The 22,869-nt window shown below is 38.8% G+C and overlaps 1 protein-coding gene across 16 annotated transcripts in view, besides 1 other annotated feature; it reads left to right on the top strand.

Annotated features, from left to right (window-relative positions):
- The window catches only part of UGGT2 (UDP-glucose glycoprotein glucosyltransferase 2), a 251,822-nt gene that overhangs the window by 124,697 nt on the left and 104,256 nt on the right, over positions 1 to 22,869 (top strand). For all 16 annotated transcript variants that reach the window (XR_931617.2, XM_047430471.1, NM_020121.4 and 13 more), the window contains 3 exons: positions 1,369 to 1,492; positions 1,579 to 1,677; positions 2,931 to 3,025. Coding sequence is in view for 15 of the 16 variants with exons in the window: in XM_047430471.1 (XP_047286427.1) it covers positions 1,369 to 1,492; positions 1,579 to 1,677; positions 2,931 to 3,025 (318 nt within the window). In the remaining variant the exon portion in view is untranslated. The remainder of the gene's footprint in view (positions 1 to 1,368; positions 1,493 to 1,578; positions 1,678 to 2,930; positions 3,026 to 22,869) is intronic.
- Positions 21,481 to 21,982: an enhancer, noted in NCBI's record as "H3K4me1 hESC enhancer chr13:96558977-96559478 (GRCh37/hg19 assembly coordinates)". NCBI's record gives its function as "activates a minimal SCP1, AML or CMV promoter by ChIP-STARR-seq in primed H9 embryonic stem cells {active_cell/tissue: H9 hESC(primed)}" and the evidence as "EXISTENCE:reporter gene assay evidence [ECO:0000049][PMID:30033119]".

Raw genomic sequence — 22,869 nt, 5'->3', positions numbered from 1 at the left:
AAGTGAGGAACACCTCTTCCCGGCCGTCATCCCGTCTAGGAAGTGAGGAGCGTCTCTGCCCGGCTACCCACCTTCTGGGATGTGGGGAGCGCCTTTGCCCCGCCGCCCCGTCTGGGCTGTGAAGAGCACCTCTGCCCCGCCGCGACCCCGTCTGGGAACTGAGGAGTGTCTCTGCCCCGCCACCACCCCGTCTGAGAGGTGAGGAGCGTCTCTGACCGGCTGCCCCGTCTGAGAAGTGAGGAGCCCCTCCGCCCAGCAGCCGCCCCATCTGGGAAGTGAGGAGCCCCTCCGCCCGGCAGCCGCCCCGTCCGGGAAGTGAGGAGCGTCTCCGCCCGGCAGCCGTCCTGTCCGGGAGGTGGGGGGCAGCCCTCGCCAGGCCAGCCGTCCCGTCGGGGAGGTGGGGGGCAGCCCCTGCCCGGCCAGCCGCCCCGTCCAGGAGGTAGGGGGCAGCCCCTGCCCGGCCAGCTGCCCCGTCCGGGAGGTGGGGGGCGCCTCTGCCCGGCCGCCACCCCGTCTGGGAGGTGTACCCAACAGCTCATTGAGAACGGGCCATGATGACGATGGCGGTTTTGTCGAATAGAAAAGGGGGAAATGTGGGGAAAAGAAAGAGAGATCAGATTGTTACTGTGTCTGTGTAGAAAGAAGTGGGCATAGGAGACTCCATTTTGTTCTGTACTAAGAAAAATTCTTCTGCCTTGGGATGCTGTTAATCTATAACCTTACCCCCAACCCCGTGCTCTCTGAAACATGTGCTGTGTCCACTAAGGGTTAAATGGATTAAGGGCGGTGCAAGATGTGCTTTGTTAAACAGACCCTGCAAGGCAGCATGTTCGTTAAGAGTCATCACCACTCCCGAATCTCAAGTACCCAGGGACACAAACACTGCGGAAGGCGGCAGGGCCCTCTGCCTAGGAAAACCAGAGACCTTTGTTCACAAGTTTATCTGCTGACCTTCCCTCCACTATTGTCCTGTGACCCCGCCAAATCCCCCTCTCCGAGAAACACCCAAGAATGATCAATAAATACTAAAAAAATTTAAAAAAACAACAAAAAAGCAAACAAACAAACAAACAAAAAAATTCAGTGAGTTAATTAATGAGAATTGTCCTGCTCACAATAGGTGCTCAAGAAATGGTTACTACCATGATTCTGGTTGTGAAGTGAAATTGCCAACACCTGAGACAGAGCTCATTAAATGTTTACCAAACTGAAGAATAAAAAAAAAAAAAAAAAAGAAAGAAAATGTATTGTAATAATTCTAAATTGCTTATTTATTTTTGATTAAGTAATCTTTGTGTTATCTGCATACTTTTTGAAACATGGATATAAATTGCCTGTATTATCTAAATAACATTTTTGTTTTTTTAGGGCACATTAAATGATCGCACGAATGCAATTGATTTTCTAATGGATAGGAATAATGTTGTACCCCGTATAAATACTTTGATTTTGCGTACTAACCAGCAGTACCTCAATTTAATATCTACATCAGGTAAAATAATCCTATACTGTTCTACAAATGTTTATTGAGTTGTGAATTCTTTATTTATATTTAACGTTTAATTTGAAATTTTTCAGTAACTGCTGATGTTGAAGATTTCTCTACTTTCTTTTTCTTGGATTCACAAGATAAGAGTGCTGTAATTGCAAAGAACATGTATTATTTAACCCAAGACGGTAATAAGCATATTTTATTTACCTGAATTCTTAAAGTGATAGAAACTTGTAATGTTCATAAGGCAGTTGTATAATAAATTTTAATATGTTGCTATTTTTGAGTAGAGGCCTAGATTTCAATTTTAGAGTTTGTAAATTTTTTAGTATTTAACGTGTGCTGAGAAAACAATGCCTTCTATTCTAACTTTGTTTATCTTATTTTTGCCTTTTTTAAACAAACTATTTTCACCTTTTTAAGAAAAGAATAAAATCTTTTCAGTACTATGTAAACTATCTTATAATGTATACAGAAAAGTACAATTACCAGATCAGAGAAGATAATAATTCTTCTGCATTCTGATTAAATAACATGCAGATATTTTGCTTAAGGTAGGGGTTACAACCAGAAGAGAGGAGACCAAGATAGTAACACACTTGGGAAAAAGGATTTAGCCAAACTGAGAAGTCTGCAGTGGGACCGTAGATTTGTTAGGGTACAATTAACTATTCAGATAGATGAATATAATTCGAATTTGGTGGTTTTTGTTTTGCTTTGCTTTGTTTTGTTTGGCCTGCTTTGCTCTAGAAATAAAAACAAGAGCCAATGAGTAAAAGATTAAAGAAGGCTGATTTTGGTCTCAGTAGGGAAGTGGTAATTTTCTAACAGTGAGAGTTCATTAAACAGATGGAATGAACTATGTTGTAAGGGGCAAACTTTTATATAGGAGAGAGATTTAAAGCAAAGGCCACACAACCAGTTCTTGTAAATGCTGTAGATTAAATCCGAGTTTCTACCAGATGGCTCCTGGATTACTGTCTAACAGATTCCATGATTTTATGTTCATAAAGGAGTCTGGCTACATATTGCTGTTTTCTATATCTACTAATAAGCTTGATTGTTACGGTTTTACATATATTTGGGACATAAATTTTTTTTTTTTAAACAAATGTAGCTAGAAGGCAGATTTGCTTACCAACACTGGGAGTTTTATATAAGCTTATATAATGAGTTACTCTTCTAACCGGAAGCTTTATATAAGCTTGTATAATGAATTACCCTTGTAGCATTTTTATATGTAATTTTATATGTATTTATTTTTGTATGTATATATACGTACTTGCATGTATACATTCACACATAACATTTTAAAAATCTTTGCTTTTCAGAAATATTATTTTAATTTTTTTTAATGTGTTAACTGCACATGTTCCCCTGCTTTTGTTTTATTTTTTAAAAAAAAAGTTAATTTGAGTAAACTGTTTGAAACTTTCAGATGAGAGTATAATTTCTGCAGTCACTCTCTGGATTATTGCAGATTTTGATAAGCCTTCTGGGAGAAAACTTCTTTTTAATGCATTAAAGCACATGGTGAGTACCTAGATATTCTTACTAACAATTTTAATTTATTTCAATTTAAGGAAAGCAATATGAAGAACATACATTAAATATTTTCCCCTCCATGTTAATGTTTCAGTTAAGTAGACGAAGGAATTCAGATTTAGTCTTCATGTAAAACAGGTAACTTTGCTCAGGAAAAGAAAAACCTACCTGTTTTCTATGACTCGTGACATATATTCTCTGGTAGTCCTTGTGATCAGACATACACATACCACATATTGATTACAAATAGGGTATTAAACAAAGTAAGTAACTCTAGACCCTACCACCACTTCAGTGACCCGAAATCCACTATTTACCAACAATAGCTAGTAATAGCAATTTTTGGTCACATAATTAAGCAGCATTTTCTTTCCCTGATTATTTAAGAAAAACTAAGTAAATTTATCTCACTGAAGAATATTTTAAGCCTTAAGTCAACATTAAATTTCTTGTTATTGATTATAAACCAGTATACTTCAAGAGGATATATTTCTGTATATAAAAGTAGTCTTTCATAACTGTCTGTATTTCTAAGTTAATATATAAGTTTATCTAGATAAAAAATACTTAAGAAACATAAACCAAAATATTTTATGAAATTGTTTTTATATTAGCTAAGTATAAATTTATTGCTGTATAACAAATTACCACTTGGTGGTAAACAGTGAACATTTATCTTAACAGTTTCTGAGGTTCAAGAATTTAGGAGCAATTTACCTGAGTGATTCTATCTTAGATTCTCTTATAAGGCTATATTTAAGATTTTGGTTATAGTTGCAGTGATCCGAAGGCTTCACTGGAGCAGGAGGACAAGCTTCTAAGATGACTCACTTACATGCCACTGCAGGAGTCCTCAGTGTTTCACTGGCTTTTAGCAGAGTGCTTCATTCCATTGCCACATAGACCTGTTTTTGGTGTTACTTAAGTGCCCTCACAACGTGGCAGCTTCCTTTTTCCAGAACAAGGGTAAAGAGATAAAGACTGAGCCACAATGTCATTTATAATCTAGCCTCAAAAGTTACACACAGTGTTTTCTGTTTGTTGAGCAAATAACTTCTATTCAGTATGAAAGGTGCTTTACAGGGCATGAATACCAGAGATGGGGATCGTTGGGGCCATCTTGGAGACTAGCTACCACGTTAAGAATAAATAATACTTCTTAAATTAAGCATTTTTATTTCATATTACACCATGTCAGAATGCATTTAGGCTTTACTCAGTAGCCTGCAGACCGGAAAATTTCAAAAAAAAAAAAAAAAAAAAAAAAAAAAAAAGCTGTTTGGGATCTATTACATCTATTGGGAGAAATTAACTTTTGCCTGCTGTTTCTTCTCAAGCGGTTCTGGGTGTGTATATTCTTTCAGAGGCTCACAAACTCCCTTTCCCCAGTTGTTTCAATGTGTCTAGCAGATAACTTTCTCTTGATTTAGTTGCTTCTTCTATAACTTTCAGAAGTGCTATCTTTTAATAATTGTTTATTCCTTATAGGATGGATGATTATTTTCATTGTCCCAAAGATTTTCAAAACCCAAGTATCATTAGAACCACAAACTAAAAACACTGTAATATATGAAGTGCAATAATCATGATGACAAGAAATAATTTTGGATCCCAAAATGCTATCTGTTGGAAATATAAAAATTGAAAAAAGATAATCATTGTCTAATCAAATCATCATTTCATTGTAGTTTTTCTTTCACCCAAGTATTTTACATTTTTTCTGGTTATTTATCACATGTTCCTTATAGAAAATCGGAAGTACATAAAATCAAAGACTAACAAGGAAGAAAAAGTAATCACCCATAAAACCTATTTTAATGTTTAGGTGTATTTCCTTTCTGGGTTTTTTATATTTATTTTTACATGGTTGAAATTATCACTTACAGTTTTATCAAAATTATTTTCTTATAATGTTAAACAATGTTGTGTCAACAAGAATTCAAATGGATACATAATAAACTGTCTACATGGAAATATTTAGTAACATTGAAAATTCAGGTGGTTTTGTTTTTTTGCTACTGTTGGTATTAATGCAGTCATAAATAATTTTGAATGTGTAGCTTATCTTATTTTTTTATTACCTCTGAGAATAGTTTATTAAAAATGACTTTGTCTCCACTAAAAATACAAAATTTGCTGGACGTGATGGCACATGCCTGTAATCCCAGCTACTGGCGAGGCTGAGGCAGGAGAATCCCTTGAACCCGGGAGGCGGAGGTTGCAGTGAGCCAAGATCACACCATTGCACTTCAGCCTGGTTGACAGAGTGAGACTCCATCTCAAAAAAAAAAAAAAAAAAGAATATGCTGAGCCAGGCATGGTGGCTCGTGCCTGTAATCCCAGCTAATCACGTGGCTGAGATGGGAAGTTTGCATGAGGCCAGGAGTTCAAGCCCAGTCTGGGCAACATAACAAGACTCTGTCTCTAAAAAAAATTTTTTTAAAAACAATTAGCCAGGTGTGGTGATGCACGCCTGTAGTCCCAGTTATTTGAGAGGCTGAGGTGGGAGGATCACTTGAGCCCAGGAGTTTGAGACTACAGTGAGCTATGATCACACCATTGCACTCTAGCCTGGGTAATAGAGTGAGACCCCATTAATTAGTCAGTGAAGAAAAGAACGTACTGAATATAAGGGTTGTTAACATTTTTAGACTCCCGATAATTTTTAACAAATGACTTTCCAAATGGCTGTTAATTTTCATAGTTTTTGAGAGGATCTGTCACATCACAGTGTTGAAAGTCTTGATTTTTGTTATACCTAATTCTTTCTGCCAATTTAAAAACAAAGAGAGTTTCTTTTTTTAAATTTTTTTGTTTTGTTTTGTTTTATTTTGTTTTGTTTTTTGAGACGGGGTCTCGCTCTGTCATTGAGGCTGGAGTACAATGGTGTGATCTCGGCTCACCACAGCACCCAACTCCTGGGCTCAAGCAATCCTCCCACCTCAGCCTCCTGGGCAGCTTGGGACTGCAGGTGCATGCCATCACACCCAGCAAATTTTTGTATTTTTTTGTAGAGACGGGTTTTGCCATGTCATCCAGGCTGGTGTCACACTCCTGAGTTCAAGTGATCCACTCGCCTCAGCTTCCCAAAGTGCTGAGATTACAGGCGTGAGCCACTGTGCCTGGCCAAAGATGGCTTCTTATTTGTATTTATTTGATAAGTAGTTATAGGGAAAATTTTTCTTTCAATATGACTTTATTTATTTTTAGCTTTGATTCCAGGGGTACATGTGGAGATTTGTTACATGGGCATATTGTGTGATGCTGAGGCTGGAGCTTCTAATGATTCTGTTCTCCAAGTAGCAAACATAGTACCTGATAGGTAGTTTTTCAACTCTCGTGGCCCCCCTTTCTCCCTTCCCATCCCCTTTTGTAGTCCCCAGTGTCTACTCCCATATTTGTGTCCCTGAGTATCCATTGTTTAGCTCCCACATAAGTGAGAACACGCAGCATTTGATTTTCTGGTTTTGTGTTAATTCACTTAAAATAATGGCCTCCAGCCGAGCCAATGTTGCTGCGAAGGACATGATCTCATTCTATCAATCAATGTGTAGATTGATTTCAATTTGCACATATTGTGTAGTATTCCATGGTGTATATGAGTCACATTTTCTTTATTCAGTCCACCATTGGTGGGCACCTAGGTTGATTCCATGTCTTTGCCATTGTGAATAGTACTGTGATAAACATGAGTGCAGGTGTCTTTTTTGGTAGAATGATTTATTTTTCTTTGGATATATACCCAGCAATGGAGTTGTTGGGTCAAATGGTAGTTCTGTTTTTAGTTCTCTGAGAAATGTCCAAACTGCTTTTTACAGTGGCTGAAGTAATTTTCATTCCCACTGTGTTTAGGCATTCCCTTTTTCTCTGCAACCTTGCGAGCATCTGTTATTTTTTTGACTTTTTAATAATACCAATTCTGACTGGTATGAGATGGTATCTCATTGTGGTTTTGATTTGCATCTCTCTGATGAGTAGTGATACTGAGCATTTTTTCATGTTTGTTGGCTGCTTGTATGTCTTCTTAGAAGTGCCCATTCCTTTGCTCACTCTGTAATGGGGTTGTTTTTGTCCTCTTGATTTGTTTATGGAAGATTTTTCTGTGTTTACTAGCCAGTTAATGTTTCTTTTTTGAATAAATATTTTTCTGTAACTTCGTGTAGTGTTCTTGGGGGAAAAAAAATTCACAGTGTGAATCTCTACCCACTATTCTGTCCTTCCAAGTGGGAGAGGCATGCTAACACTGCTTCCTATCCACTATCTGGAAAACAGCAACAACAACAACAAAAATACTGTCACCACCTTTTTTTTTTTTTTTCAACTTTAAGAGTTATGTGTAGGATATGCAGGTTTGTTACACAGATAAACGTATGCTATGGTGGTTTGCTACACAGTTCATCCCATTGCCTAGATACTAAGCCCTGCATCCCTTAGCTATTCTTCCTGATGCTCTCCCTCCCCACACCCCCTACCCCCAACAGACCACAGTGTGTGTTGTTTATGCCATTTTGTCCATGTGGTCTCATCATTCAGCTCCCACTTAAAAGTGAGAATATGTGGTGTTTGGTTTTCTGTTCCTGTGTTAGTTTGCTGAGGATAATGGCTTCCAACTCCTTCTGTGTCCCTGCAAAGGATGTGATTTCATTCCATTTTATGGCTGCATAGTATTCCATGGTGTATATGTATCACATTTTCTTTATCCAGTCTATCATTGATGGGCATTTAGGTTGATTCCGTGTCTTTACTATTGTCAATGGTGCTGCAATGAACATACACGTTCCTGTATCCTTATAATATTTAACAGAATGATTTATATTCCTTTGTGTATATGCCAAGTAATGGGATTGCTGGGTCAAATGGTAATTTTGTTTTCAGTTCTTTGAGAAATCTCCGAACTGCTTTTCACAGTGGCTGACCTAATTTTTATTCCCACTGTGTTTAAGCATTCTCTTTTTTCTGCAACCTTGCCAGCATCTGTTCTTTTACGACTTTTTAGTAATGGCCATTCTGACTGGCGTGAGATGTTATCTCATTGTGGTTTTGATTTGCATTTCTTTAATGATCAGTGATGTGGAGCTTTTTTCCCCATATTTTTTGGCCACATGTATATCTTCTTTTGAGAAGAGTCTGTTTATGTACTTTGTCCACTTTGTCGTTTGTTTTTTTCTTGTAAATTTAAGTTCCTTGTAGACTCTGGATATTAGACCTTGGTCAGATGGATAGATTGGAGAAATTTTTTCCCATTTCATAGATTATGTGTTCTCTCTGATGATAGTTTCTTTTGCTGTGCAGAAGCTCTTTAGTTTAATTATTAATATATCCCATTTGCCAATTTTTGCTTTTATTGCAATTGCTTTTGGCATTTTTGTCATGAAATCCTTGCCCATGTCTACATCCTGAATAGTATTGCCTAGATTTTCTTCTAGAGTTTTAATAGTTTCGGGTTTTACATTTAAGTTTTTAGTTTATCTTAAGTTAATATTTGTATAAGGAAGGGGTCCAGTTTCAGTTTTCTGCATATGGCTAGCCAGCACTTCCAGCACTATTTATTAAATAGGGAACCCTTTCCCCATTGCTGGCTTTTGTCAGGTTTGTCGAAGATCAGATGGTTGTAGGTGTGTGATCTTATTTCTGAGTTCTCTGTTCTGTTCCATTGGTCTATGTGTCTCTTCTTGTACCAGTACAATGCCATCTTGGTTACTGTAGCCTTGTATATTTTGAAGTTGGGTAGCATGATACCTCCAGCTTTGTTCTTTTTTCTTAGGATTGGCTTGACTATTCGGGCTCTTTTTTGGTTCCATATGAATTTTAAAATCACTTTTTCTAAATATGTGAAGAATGTCAATGTTAGTTTAATGGGAATAGCTTTGAATCTATAAATTACTTAGGGCAGTATGGCCATTTTCATGATGTTCGTTCTTCCTGTCCATGAGCATGGAATGTTTTTCCATTTGTTTGTGTCCTCTCCGATTTCCTTTGAGCAGTGGTTTGTAATTCTCCTTGAAGAGATTCTATACTTCCCTTGTTAGCTATATTCCTAGGTATTTTATTCATTTTGTAGCAATTGTGAATGGGATGGCTCTCTGCCTACTTGTTGTTGGTGTATAGGAATGCTAGAGATTTTTGCACATTGATTTTGTATCCTGAGACTTTGCTAAAGTTGCTTATCAGCTTAAGAAGCTTTTGGGCTGAGATGATGGGGTTTTCTAGATATAAGATCATGTTATCTGCAAACAAATGTAATTTGACTTCTCTCTTCCTATTTGAATACCCTTTATTTCTTTCTTGCGCCTGATTACCCTGGCCAGAACTTTCAATACTGTGTTGAATAGGAGTGGTGAGAGAGGGCATCCTTGTCTTGCGCCAGTTTTCAAGGGGAAATGCTTCCAGCTTTTGCCCATTCAGTATGATATTGGCTGTGAGTTTGTCATATATGGCTTTTATTATTTTGAGGTATGTTCCTTTAATACCTGGTTTATTGAGATTTTAACATGAAGGGATGTCTCATTTTATCAAAGGCTTTTCTTGATTGATTGAGATAATCATGTGGTTTTGTCCTTAGTTCTGTTTATGTGATGAATCACATTTATTGATTTGTGTCTGTTGAACCAACGTCGCATCCTGGGGATGAAGCCAACTTGATCTGATGGATAAGCTTTTTTATGTGCTGCTGAATTTGGTTTGCTAGTAGTTTATTGAGGATTTTTGCATTGATGTTCATCAATGGTATTGACATGAAGTTTTCCTTTTTTGTTGTATTTCTGCCAGGTTTTGGCATCAGGATGATGCTGGCCTCATAGAATGAGTAAGGGAGGAATCCCTCTTCAGTTTTGTGGAATAGTTTCAGTAGAAATGATACCAGCTCTTCATTGTACCTCTGGTAGAATTCAGCTGTGAATCCATCTGGTCCTAGGCTTTTTTTGGTTGGTAGGCTACTTATTGCTGCCTCAGTTTCAGAACTTGTTGTTGGTTCTGATGCCCCATATCATTGCTGATTGTGTTTATTGGATTCTTCTCTCTTTTCTTCTTTATCAGTGTAGCTAGTGGTCTATTTTACTACTTTTTTTCTAAAAACAGGTCCTGGATTGGTTGATTTTTTTTGAAGAGTTTTTCGTTTGTCTAACTCCTTCAGTTCAGCTCTGATCGTGGTTTCTTGTCTTCTGCTAGCTTTGGGGTTTGTTTGCTCTTGGCTCTCATGTTCTTTTAATTGAGATGTTAGGTTGTTAACTTGAGATCTTTCTAGCGTTTTGATGTGGGCATTTAGTGCTATAAATTTTTTTATTAACACTGCTTTAGTTGCATCCAGAGATTCTGGTACATTGTCTCTTTGTTCTCATTAGTTTCAAAGTAATTCTTGATTTCTGCCTTAATTTCATTATTTACTCAAGAGTCATTCAGGAGCAGGTTGTTCAATTTTCATGTAGTTGTGTGGTTTTGAGTGAATTTCTTAATCTTCAGTTCTAATTTGTGTTGTGGTCTGAAAGACTGTTACGATTTCACTTATTTTGCATTTGCTGAGGAACGTTTTACTTCCAATTATGTGATCGATTTTAGAGTAAGTGCCATGTGGCAATGAGAAGAATGTATATTCTGTTGGGTTTTGGTGGAGATTTCTGTAAATATCTATCAAGTCCACTTGATCCAGAGCTGAGTTCAGGTCGTGAATATTTTTGTTAATTTTCTGTCTCGATGATCTGTCTAATACTGTTAATGGGGTGTTAAGGTCTCTCACTATTATTGTGTGGGAGTCTAAGTCTCTTTGTAGGTCTCTTAAGAATTTGCTTTATGAATCTGGGTGCTTCTGTATTGGGTGCCTATATATTTAGGATAGTTATTTCTTCTTGAACCCTTTACAATTATGTAACATTCTTTTTTGACCTTTGTTGGTTTAAAGTCAGAAACTAGGATTGCAACCCCAGCTTTTTTTCTGTTATCCATTTGCTTGTAAATTTTCCTCCATCTCTTTATTTTGAGCCTATGTGTGTCTTTCCATGTGAGATGGATCTCTTGAAGACAGCGTGTTGATGGGTCTCCACTCTTTATCCAGCTTGCCATTCTTTGTCTTTTAATTGGGGCATTTAACCCATTTGCATTTAAGGTTAGTATTGTTATGTGTGAATTTGATACTGTCATCATGATGCTAGCTGGTTATTTTGCAGACATGTTTATGTGGTTGATTCATAGTGTCACTGGTCTGTGTACTTCAGTGTGTATTTGTCATGGCTGCCGACGGTTTTTCTTTTCCATACTTAATGCTTCCTTCAGAAGCTCTTGCAAGGCAGGCCTGGTGGTGATGAATTCCCTCAGCATTTGTTTCTCCTTCACTTATGAAGCTTAGTTTGGCCAGATATGAAATTCTGGAAATTCTTTTTTTTGGGAATTCTTTAAGAAATGAATTGGAAATTATTTTCTTTAAGAATGTTGAATATTGGCTCCAATCTCTTCTGGCTTGGAGGGTTTCAGCTGAGAGGTCTGCTGTTAGTCTGATGGGCTTCCCTTTGTGGATGACCTAGCCTTTCTGTCTGGCTGCCCCCTAACATTTCTTCTTTCATTTCAACCTTGGAGAATCTGATGATTATATGTCTTGTGGTTGATCTTTTCATGGAGTATCTTACTGGGGTTCTCCACATTTCCTGAATTTAAATGTTGTCTTTTCCTGCTAGATTGGGGAAGTTCTCCTGGATGAATATCCTCAAGTATGTTTTTCAACTTGGTTCTGTTCTCCCTGTTTCTTTCAGGTACCCCATCAGTCACAGCTCCTTTTACATAATCCTATAGTTCTCGGAGGTTTTGTTTGTTCCTTTTCATTCTTTTTTGTTTAATGTGTCTACCTGCCTTATTTCAGCAAGATAGTTTTCAAGTTCTGAAATTTTTTCCTCTGCTTGGTCTGTTCGGTTATTGATACTTGTGGTTGCATTGTGAAGTTCTTATGTTGTGTTTTTCAGCTCCATCAGGTCATTTATATTCCTCTCTAAACTGATTGTTCTCGTTTACAGCTCCTGTAATGTTTTATCATAGTGCTTCGTTTCTTTGCATTGGGTTAGAACATGCTCCTTTAGCTTAGCGAAGTTCCTTATTACCCACCTTTTGAAGCCTACTTCCATCACTTCAGCCATCTTGGCCTCGGCCCAGTTCTGTCTGCTTAGGGGAGAGGTGTTGCAGTCATTTGGAGGAGAAGAGACACTCTGGCCTTTTGAATTTTCAGCATTTTTGCTTTGATTTTTTCTCATCTTTGTGGGCTTATCTACCTGTGATTTTTGAGATTGCTGACCTTTGAATGGGGTTTTTCTGGAGTCCTTTTTGTTGACGATGATTTTGTTGCTTTCTGTTTGTTTTTAACGGTCAAGCTGCTCTTCTGTAGGGCTGCTGCAGTTTGCTGAGGGTTCACTCCAGACCCTAGTTGCTTCTGTTTTTCCTGTACCCAGAGGTATCACCAGTGAAGGCTGTGAAACAACAAAGATGGCAGCCAGATCCTTCTGGAAGCTCTGTCCTAGGGGGGTACAGACCTATTGCCAGCCCAAACACACCTATAGCAGGTGGCTGGAGACCCTTGTTGTGAGATCTTATGCAGATAGGAAGAATGGGATCAGGGACCTGCTTAAAGAGGCAGTCTGGCTGCTTGTTGGTGGAGCAGGTGTGCTGTGTTGGGGTGGATCATTTCTCACCCAGACTGTTTGGACTCTCCAGAGCCGGCTGAGTGGAACAGCTGAGTCAACCGAACTGCAGAGATGGTAGCCGCTTCTCCCACTGGGAACTCTGTCTCAGGAAGAGATCAAAGCTCTGTCTTTATAATCCTGGCTGGTGTGGCTGAAGCCTCTGCAGGGAGGTCCTCCCCAGTGAGGAGGAATGGATTGGGGTCCTGCTTAAAGAAGCAGTCTGGCCATGATCGGATAGAGCAGCTATGCTCTGTTGGTGGGGGAACCTTCCTTGTCTGGACTGTTTGGACTCTCCAAAGCTGGCAGGCTGGAACAGCTGAGTCGACCAATCTGCAGAGATGGTGGCCACCCTCCCCCGGAAGCCCTGTCCCAGGGAGAGATCGGAGCTCTGTCCTTATAACCCTGACTGGAGTGGCTAAAGCTTCCACAGGGATAAGTGTATTTTTTGCATCTAAATAAGTATGTCCTTTTCATATATAATCTATTTATTATTCATTTACTGTCTAAGTATTTGAGTGACTATGTTTTCCCTTCTGGGGATATATTAGTTTACAATATTAAGATCTTTTCTCTTGTGCAGGTTAAATTTTAGCAGGGGTAGCGTGCATAGGGAGACAGACAATAAGTGATAGACATATGTAAATTGAGTTACATGTCAAGAAGCTGAGAAATGCTATGGAAAAAGAAAAAGAACTGGGTAAGGGAAAATCAGGAGCAGAGAGTCAGGTTGCAGACAGATTACAATTTTAAATAAAGTTGGCAGGATACGCCTCATTGAGAAGATGACATTTCAGCAATGACCTGAAGGAATTGAGGGAATTAACAATTCAAATACTGAGGGAAAATATATTCCCACCAGAGTGTCTAGCTGATGCAGAGGTTCTAATGCAAGAACATACTTTATGTAAGAAGACAGCAAAGTGTATGGCTAGAACACAGCAAGGAGAAGAGATGAGATAACAGAAGAATGAGGTGCCAGATAATATCAGGCTTCTAAGTGTTAGGATTTTAATCATTGACCCATAGAAGCATTTTGTAGATCAATATTTTGCATGTCACTTTACATTTTGACATCATTTAAATTAGTGTGTGATGTTCTTGACAGTTAAAAAATGTCTATATCAGAACTATCAGTCTTTTAAAATTTCTTCATAATTTTTATACTTAAGAGTTTTGCAGGGGGTTTTTTGTTCTTTTGTTTTTGTTTTTTTGAAAGAGTCTCACTCAGTCGCCCAGGCTGGAGTGCGGTGATGCAGTCTCGGCTCACTGCATCCTCCACCTCCTAGTAGGTTCAAGTGATTCTCCTGCCTCAGCCTCGCATGTGGTTGGGATTACAGGCGTGCATCACCACGCCCAGCTAATTTTTTTTTTTTTTTTTTTTTTTTTTTTTTTTTTTTTTAGTAGAGATGGAGTTTCACCATAATGGCCAGAGTGGTCTCGAACTCCTCACCTCAGGTGATCCACCTGCCTCAGCCTCCCAAAGTGCTGGGATTATAGGCAGGAGCCACTGAGCCCACCCACTTAGAGTTTTAATTCTATTAATTATCCTTTCTATATATCAAACATACTGAAGTCAAAACAAAATAGTAACTTTTCACTTGTCCAAGGAAATTGACAAATCTTTAATTCTCTCCTTTTGTAGCTTGCTTTCTTCTGCCTTTGTAAATTTAAGTGGATGCCAGTAGTTTTAAGAAACTTTACAGTAGTTGTAAGGAATATTTTAACACTTTGAATATATCATCTCATTGCCTTCTTTTTTTTTTTTATTATACTTTAAGTTCTAGGGTACATGTGCACAACATGCAGGTTTGATACATAGGTATATATGTGCCATGATGGTTTGCTGTACCTATCAACTCATCATTTACATTAGGTATGTCTCCTAATGCTATCCCTCCCTCAGGCCCCCATCCCTCAACAGGCCCTGGTGGGTGATGTTCCCTTCCCTGTGTCCAAGGCCCTGTGTCCAATTGATCTCATTGTTCAATTCCCACCTATGAGTGAGAACATGTGGTATTTGGTTTTCCGTCCTTATAGTTTCCTGAAAATGATGGTTTCCAGCTTCATCCATGTCCCGGCAAAGGACATGAACTCATCCTTTTTTATGGCTGCATAGTATTCCATGGTGTATACGTGCCACATTTTCTTAATCCAGTCTATCATTGATGGACATTTGGGTTGGTTCCAAGTCTTTGCTATTGTCAATAGTGCCACAATAAACATACATGTGCATGTGTCTTTATAGTAGCATGATTTATAATCCTTTGGGTATATAAGCAGTAATGGGATTGCTGGGTCAAATATTAATTCTAGTTTAGATCCTTGAGGAATCACCACACTGTCTTCCACAAAGGTTGAACTAATTTACACTCACACCAACAGTGTAAAAGCGTTCCTATTTCTCCACATCCTCTCCAGCATCTGTTGTTTCCTGACTTTTTAAATGATTGCTATTCTAACTGGTGTGAGATGGTATCTCATTGTGGTTTTGATTTGCACTTCTCTGATGACCAGTGATGAGCATTTTTCCATGTGTCTGTTGGTTGTGTAGATGTCTTCTTTTGAGAAGTGTCTATTCATATCCTTTGCCCACTTTTTGATGGGGTTGTTTGTTTTTTTCTTATAAGTTTGTTTGAGTTCTTTGTAGATTCTGGATATTAGCCCTTTGTCAGATGGGTAGATTGCAAAAATTTTCTCCCATTCTGTAAGTTGCCTGTTCACTCTGATGATAGTTTCTTTTGCTGTGGAGAAGCTCTTTAGTTTAATTAGATCCCATTTGTCAATTTTGGCTTTTGTTGCCATTGCTTTTGGTGTTTTAGTCATGAAGTCCTTGACCATGCCTATGTCCTAAATGGTATTGCCTAGGTTTTCTTCTAGGGGTTTTGTGGTTTTAGGTCTAACATTTAGGTCTCTAATCCATCTTGAATTAATTTTTGTATAAGGTGTAAGGAAAGGATCCAATTTCAGCTTTCTACATATGGCTAGCCAGTTTTCCCAGCACCATTTATTAAATAGGGAATCCTTTCCCCATTTCTTGTTTTTGTCAGATTTGTCAAAGATCAGATGGTTGTAGATGTGTGGTATTATTTCTGAGGGCTCTGTTCTGTTCCATTGGTCTATACCTCTGTTTTGGTACCAGTACCATGCTGTTTTGGTTACTGTAGCCTTGTAGTATAGTTTGAAGTCAGGTAGCGTGATGCCTCCAGCTTTGTTCTTTTGGCTTAGGATTGTCTTGGCAATGCAGGCTGTTTTTTGGTTCCATATGAACTTTAAAGTAGTTTTTTCCAATTCTGTGAAGAAAGTCATTGGTAGCTTGATGGGGATGGCACTGAATCTATGAATTACCTTGGGCAGTGCTGCCATTTTCATGATATTGAGTCTTCCTATCCATGAGCATGGAATATTCTTCCATTTGTTTGTGTCCTCTTTTATTTCTTTGAGCAGTGGTTTGTAGTTCTCTTTGAAGAGGTCCTTCACATCCCTTGTAAGTTGGATTACTAGGTATTTTATTCTCTTTGTAGCAATTCTGAATGGGAGTTCACTCATGATTTGGCTCTCTCTTTGTCTGTTAATGGTGTATAGGAATGCTTGTGATTTTTGCACATTGATTTTGTATCCAGAGACTTTGCTGAAGTTGCTTATCAGCTAAAGGATATTTTGGGTTCAGACGATGGGGTTTTCTAAATATACAATCATGTCATCTGCAAACAGGGACAATTTGACTTTCTCATTTTCTAATTGAACACCCTTTATTTCTTTCTCTTGCCTGACTGCCCTGGCCAGAACTTCCAACACTATGTTGAATAGGAGTGGTGAGAGAGAGCATCCCTGTCTTGTGCCCGTTTTCAAAGGGAATGCTTCCAGTTTTTGCCCATTCAGTATGATATTGGCTGTGGGTTTGTCATAAATAGCTCTTATTATTTTGAGATATGTTCCATCAATACCTAGTTTATTGAGAGTTTTTAGCATGAAGGGCTGTTGAATTTTGTTAAAGGCCTTTTCTGCATCTATTGAGATAATCATGTGGTTTTTGTTGTTGATTCTGTTTATATGATGGATTACATTTATTGATTTGCATATGTTGAACCAGTCTTGCATCCCAGGGATGAAGCCCACTTGATCATGGTGGATAAGCTTTTTGATGTGCTGCTGGATTTGGTTTGCCAGTATTTTATTGAGGATTTTTGCATTGATGTTCATCAGGGATATTGGTCTAAAATTCTCTTTTTTTTGTTGTGTTTCTGCCAGGCTTTGGTGTCAGGATGATATTGGCCTCATAAGTTGAGTTAGGGAGGATTCTCTCTTTTTCTATTGATTGGAATAGTTTCAGAGGGAATGGTACCAGCTCCTCTTTGTACCTCTTGTAGAATTCGGCTGTGAATCCATCTGGTCCTGGACTTTTTTTAGTTGGTAGGCTATTAATTATTGCCTCAATTTCAGAGCCTGTTATTTGTCTATTCAGAGATTCAGCTTCTTCCTGGTTTAGTCTTGGGAGGGTGTATGTGTCCAGGAATTTATCCATTTCTTCTAGATTTTCTAGTTTATTTGCGTAGAGGTGTTTATAGTATTCTCTGATGGTAGTTTGTATTTCTGTGGGATCAGTGGTGATATCCCATTTATCATTTTTTATTGTGTCTATTTGATTCTTCTTTCTTTTCTTCTTTATTAGTCTTGCTAGCAGTCTATCAATTTTGTTCTTTTCAAAAAACCAGCTCCTGGATTCATTGATTTTTTGAAGGGTTTTTTATGTCTCTATCTCCTTCAGTTCTGCTCTGATCTTAGTTATTTCTTGCGTTCTGCTAGCTTTTGAATGTGTTTGCTCTTGCTTCTCTAGTTCTTTCAGTTGTGATGTTAGGGTGTTGATTTTAGATCTTTCCTGCTTTCTCTTATAGGCATTTAGTAGTATAAATTTCCCTCTACACACTGCTTTAAATGTGTCCCAAAGATTCTGGTACGTTGTGTCTTTGTTTTCGTTGGTTTCAAAGAACATCTTTATTTCTGCCTTCATTCGTTATTTATCCAGTAGTCATTCAGGATCAAGTTGTTCAGTTTTCATGTAGTTGAGTGGTTTTGAGTGAGTTTCTTAATCCTGAGTTCTAATTTGATTGCACTGTGATCTGAGAGACAGTTTGTTGTGATTTGTGTTCTTTTATATTTGCTGAAGAGTGGTTTACTTCCAGTTATGTAGTCGATTTTAGAATAGGTGCAATGCGGTGCTCCAAAGAATGTATATTCTGTTGATTTGGGGTGGAGAGTTCTGTAGATGTCTGTTAGGTCTGCTTGGTGCAGAGCTGAGTTCAGGTCCTGGATATCCTTGTTAACATTTGTCTTGTTGATCTGTCTAATATTGACAGTGGGGTGTTAAAGTCTCCCATTATTATTGTGTGGGAGTCTAAGTCTCTTTGTAGGTCTCTGAGGACTTGCTTTATGAATCTGGGTGCTCCTGTATTGGGTGCATATATATTTGGGATAGTTAGCTATTCTTGTTCAATTCATCCGTTTACCATTATGTACTGGCCTTTTTTGTCTCTTTTAATCTTTGTTGGTTTAAAGTCTGTTTTATCAGAGACTAGGATTGCAACCCCTGCTCTTTTTTCTTTCCATTTGCTTGGTAGATCTTCCTCCATCCCTTTATTTGAGCCTATGTGTGTCTCTGCACATGAGATGGGTCTCCTGAAGACAGCACACTGATGGGTCTTGACTCTTTATCCAATTTCCAGTCTCTGTCTTTTAATTGGGGCTTTTAGCCCATTTAAATTTCAGGTTAATATTGTTATGTGTAAATTTGATCCCGTTATTATGATGTTTGCTGGTTATTTTGCCTGTTAATTGATGCAGTTTCTTCATAGCACCAATGGTCTTTACAGTTTGGCATGTTTTTGCAGTGGCTGGTACTGGTTGTTCCTTTCCATGTTTAGTGCTTCCTTCAGGAGCTCTTGTAAGGCAGGCCTCGTGGTGACAGAATCTCTCAGCATTTGCTTGTCTGTAAAGGATTTTATTTCTCCTTCACTTATGAAGATTAGTTTGGCTGGATATTAAATTCTGGGCTGAAAATTCTTTCCTTTAAGAATGTTGAATATTGTCCCCCACTCTCTTCTGGCTTGTAGGGTTTCTGCTGAGAGGTCCGTTGTTAGTCTGATGGGCTTCCCTTTGTCGATAACTCGACCTTTCTCTCTGGTTGCCCTTAACAGTTTTTTTTTTTTTTTTTTTTTAGTGGGCAGGAATCTTTTTTATTATTATTATTATTATTATTATTATTATTATACTTCAAGTTTTAGGGTACATGTGCACATTGTGCCGGTTAGTTACATATGTATACATGTGCCATGCTGGTGCGCTGCACCCACTAACTCGTCATCTAGCATTAGGTATATCTCCCGATGCTATCCCTCCCCCCTCCCCCCACCCCACAACAGTCCCCAGTATGTGATATTCCCCTTCCTGTGTCCACGTGATCTCATTGTTCAATTCCCACCTATGAGTGAGAATATGCGGTGTTTGTTTTTTTGTTCTTGCGATAGTTTACTGAGAATGATGATTTCCAGTTTCATCCATGTCCCTACAAAGGACATGAACTCATCATTTTTTATGGCTGCATAGTATTCCATGGTGTATACGTGCCACATTTTCTTAATCCAGTCTATCATTGTTGGACATTTGGGTTGGTTCCAAGTCTTTGCTATTGTGAATAATGCCGCAATAAACATACGTGTGCGTGTGTCTTTATAGCAGCATGATTCATAGTCCTTTGGGTATATACCCAGTAATGGGATGGCTGGGTCAAATGACAAGCAATGGGGAAAGGATTCCCTATTTAATAAATGGTGCTGGGAAAACTGGCTAGCCATATGTAGAAAGCTGAAACTGGATCCCTTCCTTACACCTTATACAAAAATCAATTCAAGGTGGATTAAAGACTTAAACGTTAGACCTAAAACCATAAAAACCCTACAAGAAAACCTAGGCATTACCATTCAGGACATAGGCATGGGCAAGGACTTCATGTCTAAAACACCAAAAGCAATGGCAACAAAAGCCAAAATTGACAAATGGGATCTAATTAAACTAAAGAGCTTCTGCACAGCAAAAGAAACTACCATCAGAGTGAACAGGCAACCTACAAAATGGGAGAAAATTTTCGCAACCTACTCATCTGACAAAGGGCTAATATCCAGAATCTACAATGAACTCAAACAAATTTACAAGAAAAAAACAAACAACCCCATCAAAAAGTGGGCAAAGGACATGAACAGACACTTCTCAAAAGAAGACATTTATGCAGCCAAAAAACACATGAAAAAATGCTCATCATCACTGGCCATCAGAGAAATGCAAATCAAAACCACAATGAGATACCATCTCACACCAGTTAGAATGGCGATCATTAAAAAGTCAGGAAACAACAGGTGCTGGAGAGGATGTGGAGAAATAGGAACACTTTTACACTGTTGGTGGGACTGTAACTAGTTCAACCATTGTGGAAGTCAGTGTGGCGATTCCTCAGGGATCTAGAACTGGAAATGCCCTTAACAGTTTTTCCTTCATTTCAACTTTGGTGAATCTCACGATTATGTGTCTTGGGGTTGTTCTTCTTGAGGAGTATTTTTGTGATGTTCTCTGTATTTCCTGAATTTGAACATTGGCCTGCCTTGCTAGGTTGGGGAAGTTCTCCTGGATGATATCCTGAATAGTGTTTTCCAACATGGTTCCATTCTCCCCATCACTTTCAGGTACACCAGTCATACGTAGATTTGGTCTTTTCACATAGTTCCATATTTCTTGGAGGCTTTGTTTGTTTCTTTTTAGTCTTTTTTCTCTAAGCTTGTCTTCTCACTTTATTTCATTAATTTGATCTTCAATCACTGATACCCTTTCTTCCACTTGATTGAATCTGCTATTGAAGCTTGTGCATGTGTCACGAAGTTCTCATGCCATGGTTTTCAGCTCCATCACGTCATTTAAGGTCTTCTCTACACTGTTTATTATGGTTAGCCATTTGTCTTATCTTTTTTCTAGGTTTTTAGCTTCCTTGAGATGGGTTCGAATATCCTTCTTTAGCTCAGAGAAGTTTGTTATTACCAACCTTCTGAAGCCTACTTCTGTCAACTCATCAAAGTCATTCTCTGTCCAGCTTTGTTCTGTTGCTGGCGAGGAGCTGCGATCCTTTGGAGGAGAAGAGGCCCTTTGATTTTTAGAATTTTCAGCTTTTCTGTTGTACTTTCTCCCCATCTTTGTGGTGTTATCTACCTTTGGTCTTTGATGTTGGTGACCTACAGATGTGGTTTTGGTGTAGATGACCTTTTTGTTGATGTTGATGCTATTCCTTTCTGTTTGTTAGTTTTCCTTCTAACAGGTCCCTCAGCTGCAAGTCTGTTGGAGTTTCCTGGAGTTATGCTGCAAATCCTTTTTGCCTGGGTATCACCAGCGGAGGCTGCAGAACAGCAAATATTGCTGCCTGATCCTTCTCTTTGTCCCAGAGGGGCAGCTGCCTATATGAGGTGTCTGTCGGCCCCTGTTGGGAGGTGTCTCCCAGTTAGGCTACATGGGGACCCACTTGAGGAGGCAGTCTGTCCATTCTCAGAGCTCAAACACCATGCTTGGAGAAGCATTGCTCTCTTCAGAGCTGTCAGACAAGGACGTTTAAGTCTGCAGAAGTTGTCTGCTGCCTTTTGTTCTGCTAAGCCCTGCCCACACAGGTGGAGTTTAGAGGCAGTAGGCCTCGCTGAGCTGCGGTGGGCTGCCCCTAGTTCGAGCTTCCCAGCCGCTTTGTTTACGTACTCAAGCCTCAGCAATGGTGGACGCCCCTCCCCCAGCCAGGCTGCCAGCTTGCAGTTCAATCTCAGACAGCTGCGCTAGCAGTGAGCAAGGCTCCGTGGGTGTGGGACCTGCCGTGTCGGGCACGGGAGAGAATCACCTTGTCTGCTGGTTGCTAAGACCTTGGGAAAATCACAGTATTTGGGCAGAAGTGTCCCATTTTTCCAGGTAGTCTGTCACACCTTCCCTTGGCTAGGAAAGGGAAATTCCCCCACCCCTTGTGCTTTCCAGGTGAGGCGATGCCCTGCCTGGGCTGCACCCACTTTCCAACCAGTCCCATTGAGATGAACCAGGTACCTGAGCTGGAAATGCAGGAATCACCCATCTGCTGCATCGGTCACACTGGGAGCTGCAGACTGGAGCTGTTCCTATTCGGCCATCTTGGAACGCCCCCATCTGATTGCCTTCTGGCTTCTGTTGTTTCTGATAAGAAGTTAGCCTTTATTGTTACTGAGATTCTTTTGTATACAGTGAAAAAAGCATTTCTCTTCTTTTCAAGATTTTAGCTTTTGCTTTTAACATTTTGACTGGTGTGTCTGGCTGTGGATATCTTTACATTTATCCTTATTGGAGTACATTGAGCTTCTTAAATTTGTAAACTATGTTATTAATCAAAATTGGGAATTTTTCAGTAGTTTTTAAAAGTATCTTCTATGTTTCTTTTTCCTTGTCTTCCTGGGTCTTCTATAATGCATATGTTGGCATGCTTAATGGTGTCCCACGTTTCTCTGAGAAACTGTTCATTTTTTTCAGTCTTTTTACATTCTGTTCTCCAGATTGTATAATCTTTATTGATTTATCTTCCAGTTGCCATTCCAAGTTGTTTACACAGAAAATACATACATAGCCACATATAAATTATTAGAATTAATTATATAGTTTAAGGTTGTTTAATACCAGTCAATGTCCAATAATTAATTATATTTCTAAGAGCTGCAACAAACGAGAAATGCAGTTTAAATAAATATACCGTTTACAATAGTATGAAAAATATCGAACACTGGAAATTTTTGTGGAAATTGTCAAGCAGATTCAAAAACTCATCCAGAAATTCAAAGTACCAAGAGTAGCTAAAATAATCTTAAAGCATAAAAAGTGATAATTGCTTTACTGGATATCAAGATCTTTGATAAAACTACGTAATTGAAAACAGTTTGGTATCAGCACAAGGATAGAAAAATAGAGCAATGGAAGAAGAATAGAGAACCCAGAAGTAGAGCCATGCATATATTAACACTTGATTTATAACAAAGTTGGCTTTATGGAACAGTAAGGGTAATCTTTGACACTTCCCCCTTTTCACGTCATACACAAAAATTGATTCCAGATGGATTATAGAGCTAAACATAAAAGGCAAAACAA

Source organism: Homo sapiens, chromosome 13 (assembly GCF_000001405.40).
Source record: "Homo sapiens chromosome 13, GRCh38.p14 Primary Assembly".
Taxonomy (NCBI): Eukaryota; Metazoa; Chordata; class Mammalia; order Primates; family Hominidae; genus Homo; species Homo sapiens.
This window is presented reverse-complemented; position numbering and strand designations above follow the sequence as displayed.